Below are 4,320 nucleotides of genomic sequence, written 5' to 3'. Positions count from 1 at the left end.
GTTGTCCTATGTTTAATTTTTCCTGTAGGTAAAGGTGCCAGAGGCTTCCAACTACTCTAGTCCCTGTATTGTCTCTCTTGTTCTGTTTGTACTTCCCTGAGTACTCCTCCTCAGAGAGAGTCTGTACCTTGCACTCTTTCAGATTTACTCTGCTGTTACTGCACTGGAGCCCTGTGGGTGTGATGGTGAGGTGTGGGAAAGGGAAGCCTTCTATAGTTTTATAATTAAGTCATAGCTTCTTAGTGGGTCTTTCCACAAGTGCTGACCCAGTGGTAGAGTTTCCCTCTCCCTTTTTATATGAGATAAGAAGGCTAGTGAGATGCTGGAGCACAGGGAATGGCTTTTGGAAAGTTGGGACAAGGCTCTGGTAATCACTTCCCCTGGAAAGTGGGTCACTTTTATGGAGGAAGCTCTGGGTTTATTTCAGAAGGAGTACTTTCCCCTGTCTCTGCCAGAGCCACTTGGGGATTTTTATTGGCTGTTTACCATAAGAACCTGGTGGGGTTCTTGCAGGTAAAACCTAGGAAAGTATGTGGTTCTTCTGTGGCTCCCAAGAGTGTCTCACTCCCATCCTGGTTCTGCACTCAGTGTATTGGTTTGCTAAAACTGTCATAACAAAGTGTCACAGATGAGATGGTTTAAATACATGAATTTCTTTTCTCATGATTCTGGTAGCAAGAAGCACAAGATCAAGGTGCCATCAGGGTCAGTTTCGCCTGAGGGCTCTCTGGCCTGTAGATGCTCATCTTCTAGCTATTTCCTCATGTATCTGCCCTCTCTACTTGTTTGTGTCCTAATTTCCTCTTCTTATAAGAACACATCAAATTGGATAAGGCCCTACCCTAATGATCTAATTTAACCTGAATTAATTCTTTAAATACCCTGTTCCCAAATAGAATACCATTCTGAAGTACTGAGGATTAGTATGTCAACATATGAATTTAGGGGTGCAAAATTCAGCCCATAGCACTCAGTTCCTAGCAGTTCATTGAAATTACAGTTCATGGCTCCACTGGCGTCTGCTCCACGTGTGCAGATCTTAGCTGTGACTGGCTCTGGATTAACCTGTCCCTTCAGACTTCAGGGTTACAGTTTGCTCTGCAACCTCCATTCTCTGATGAGTCAAAGAAAACCTTCAAACATCAGTTTTTTCAACCTTTTCCCATAAGATAGAGAGTGATGACTTCCAAGCCCTTCACAAGTCAGAACTGAAACCAGATGTCTGGCAGAGTTCTTGAGGATTTTCACAAGCCCTCTCCCCTTTGGAGCCCCGTTAATTGAATCATTTCTCTCCCAGCACCTATCACGGCATGGCATTTTAGTATTTAATAACTTGCTTTGTGTTGGTGATTTGTGTCTCCGCTCACTATATCAGAGACTCCATCAGGGCAGGAACCATGTCTCTTTGGTCCTCTGCTGAATCACCATTGTACAGCACATAATAGATCACAAATAGTGCTTAAATGGATGAATGAAATAAGCCGTTAAAACAGAGCTGCATCTCACTTTAATGTCTTTTTCGATAGAAGAAAATAAAAATGTATTTTCAATATCATTATTATACATTTTGATTCTAAAATTTTTCTCTTTGTACTGTTGAGCCGTTAAAATGCTTTTTGTGGGTTTTTAAGGAAATGCCCTGCTCAGTCACTGCTCTCTGACAAGGCCTCAGCTTTGGAGCCCAGGGCAATGCAGAGTTATGCATGTAAAGCTTAGGGGTGGTCCCAGAATGGTGCCTGCAGGATGAAGCCAAGCTCCCTAGCACTTCAAGTTGGGGTCTTCTTTTGTCTCTGTCTCCTGCAATTTCCTTCCCCATACTCTGTGCACTCATCAAACCAGAGGCGTCTCTTGTTTTTGAATTCACCATATTCTTTCGTATCTCCAAATCTTTCCTTTCTTCCTTTCTCAGGCAGGAAAGCTCAAGCCACTGGTCAGCCTTCCAAAACCAGCTGAAATACCATTTTGTTGGTGCAGCTTGCCTGAGCTTTCTGGCAAGCCCCGTTACCTCCTGCTGTGTGTTCCTTTAGCCTCCATGGGTGAGCACACTCATCCCAGCACCAAACTGGAATTCTCTCTCACCTCTTCCAAATCAGAACCACAAACCCTTTGAGAGTAGGTAGGGGCTGCCTAACTCATCTTTCCATCCGGAGGGTCTCTTGGATGGAAAATAAGAGTTGAATTCAGACCATAAGAATCTCTTCACCATTTCTCCTGGTTGCTTTCTTTTTTTTTTTTTTTATTATTATTTAAGTTTTAGGGTACGTGTGCACAATGTGCAGGTTAGTTACCTATGTATACGTGTGACATGCTGGTGCGCTGCACCCACTAACTCGTCATCTAGCATTAGGTATATCTCCCAATGCTATCCCTCCCCCCTCCCCCCACCTCCCACCCCACAACAGTCCCCAGAGTGTGATGTTCCCCTTCCTCTGTCCATGTGTTCTCATTGTTCAATTCCCACCTATAAGTGAGAATATGCAGTGTTTGGTTTTTTGTTCTTGCGATAGTTTACTGAGAATGATGATTTCCAATTTCATCCATGTCCCTACAAAGGACATGAACTCATCATTTTTTATGGCTGCATAGTATTCCATGGTGTATATGTGCCACATTTTCTTAATAAATTAGGTATTGATGGGACGTATCTCAAAATAATAAGAGCTATCTATGACAAACCCACAGCCAATATCATACTGAATGGGCAAAAACTGGAAGCATTCCCTTTGAAAACTGGCACAAGATAGGGATGCCCTCTCTCACCACTCCTATTCAACATGGTGTTGGAAGTTCTGGCCAGGGCAATTAGGCAGGAGAAGGAAATAAAGGGTATTCAATTAGGAAAAGAGGAAGTCAAATTGTCCCTGTTTGCAGACGACATGATTGTATATCTAGAAAACCCCATTGTCTCAGCCCAAAATCTCCTTAAGCTGATAAGCAACTTCAGCAAAGTCTCAGGATACAAAATCAATGTACAAAAATCACAAGCATTCTTATACACCAACAACAGACAAACAGAGAGCCAAATCATGAGTGAACTCCCATTCACAATTGCTTCAAAGAGAATAAAACACCTAGGAATCCAACTTACAAGGGATGTGAAGGACCTCTTCAAGGAGAACTACAAACCACTGCTCAATGAAATAAAAGAGGATACAAACAAATGGAAGAACATTCCATGCTCATGGGTAGGAAGAATCAATATCGTGAAAATGGCCATACTGCCCAAGGTAATTTATAGATTCAATGCCATCCCCATCAAGCTACCAATGACTTTCTTCACAGAATTGGAAAAAACTACTTTAAAGTTCATATGGAACCAAAAAAGAGCCCGCATTGCCAAGTCAATCCTAAGCCAAAAGAACAAAGCTGGAGGCATCACACTACCTGACTTCAAACTATACTACAAGGCTACAGTCACCAAAACAGCATGGTACTGGTACCAAAACAGAGATATAGATCAATGGAACAGAACAGAGCCCTCAGAAATAACGCCGCATATCTACAACTATCTGATCTTTGACAAACCTGAGAAAAACAAGCAATGGGGAAAGGATTCCCTATTTAATAAATGGTGCTGGGAAAACTGGCTAGGCATATGTAGAAAGCTGAAACTGGATCCCTTCCTTACACCTTATACAAAAATCAGTTCAAGATGGATTAAAGACTTAAATGTTAGACCTAAAACCATAAACACCCTAGAAGAAAACCTAGGCATTACCATTCAGGACATAGGCATGGGCAAGGACTTTATGTCTAAAACACCAAAAACAATGGCAACAAAAGCCATAATTGACAAATGGGATCTCATTAAACTAAAGAGCTTCTGCACAGCAAAAGAAACTACCATCAGAGTGAACAGGCAACCTACAAAATGGGAGAAAATTTTCACAACCTACTCATCTGACAAAGGGCTAATATCCAGAATCTACAATGAACTCAAACAAATTTACAAGAAAAAAAACAAACAACCCCATCAAAAAGTGGGCGAAGGACATGAACAGACACCTCTGAAAAGAAGACATTTATGCAGCCAAAAAACACACGAAAAAATGCTCACCATTACTGGCCATCAGAGAAATGCAAATCAAAACCACAATGAGATACCATCTCAGACCAGTTAGAATGGCAGTCATTAAAAAGTCAGGAAACAACAGGTGCTGGAGAGGATGTGGAGAAATAGGAACACTTTCACACTGTTGGTGGGACAGTAAACTGGTTCAACCATTGTGGAAGTCAGTGTGGCGATTCCTCAGGGATCTAGAACTAGAAATACCATTTGACCCAGCCATCCCATTACTGGGTATATACCCAAAGGACTAT

This window comes from Homo sapiens, chromosome 5 (assembly GCF_000001405.40).
Source record: "Homo sapiens chromosome 5, GRCh38.p14 Primary Assembly".
NCBI lineage: Eukaryota > Metazoa > Chordata > Mammalia > Primates > Hominidae > Homo > Homo sapiens.
Note: the sequence above shows the minus strand (reverse complement) of the source record.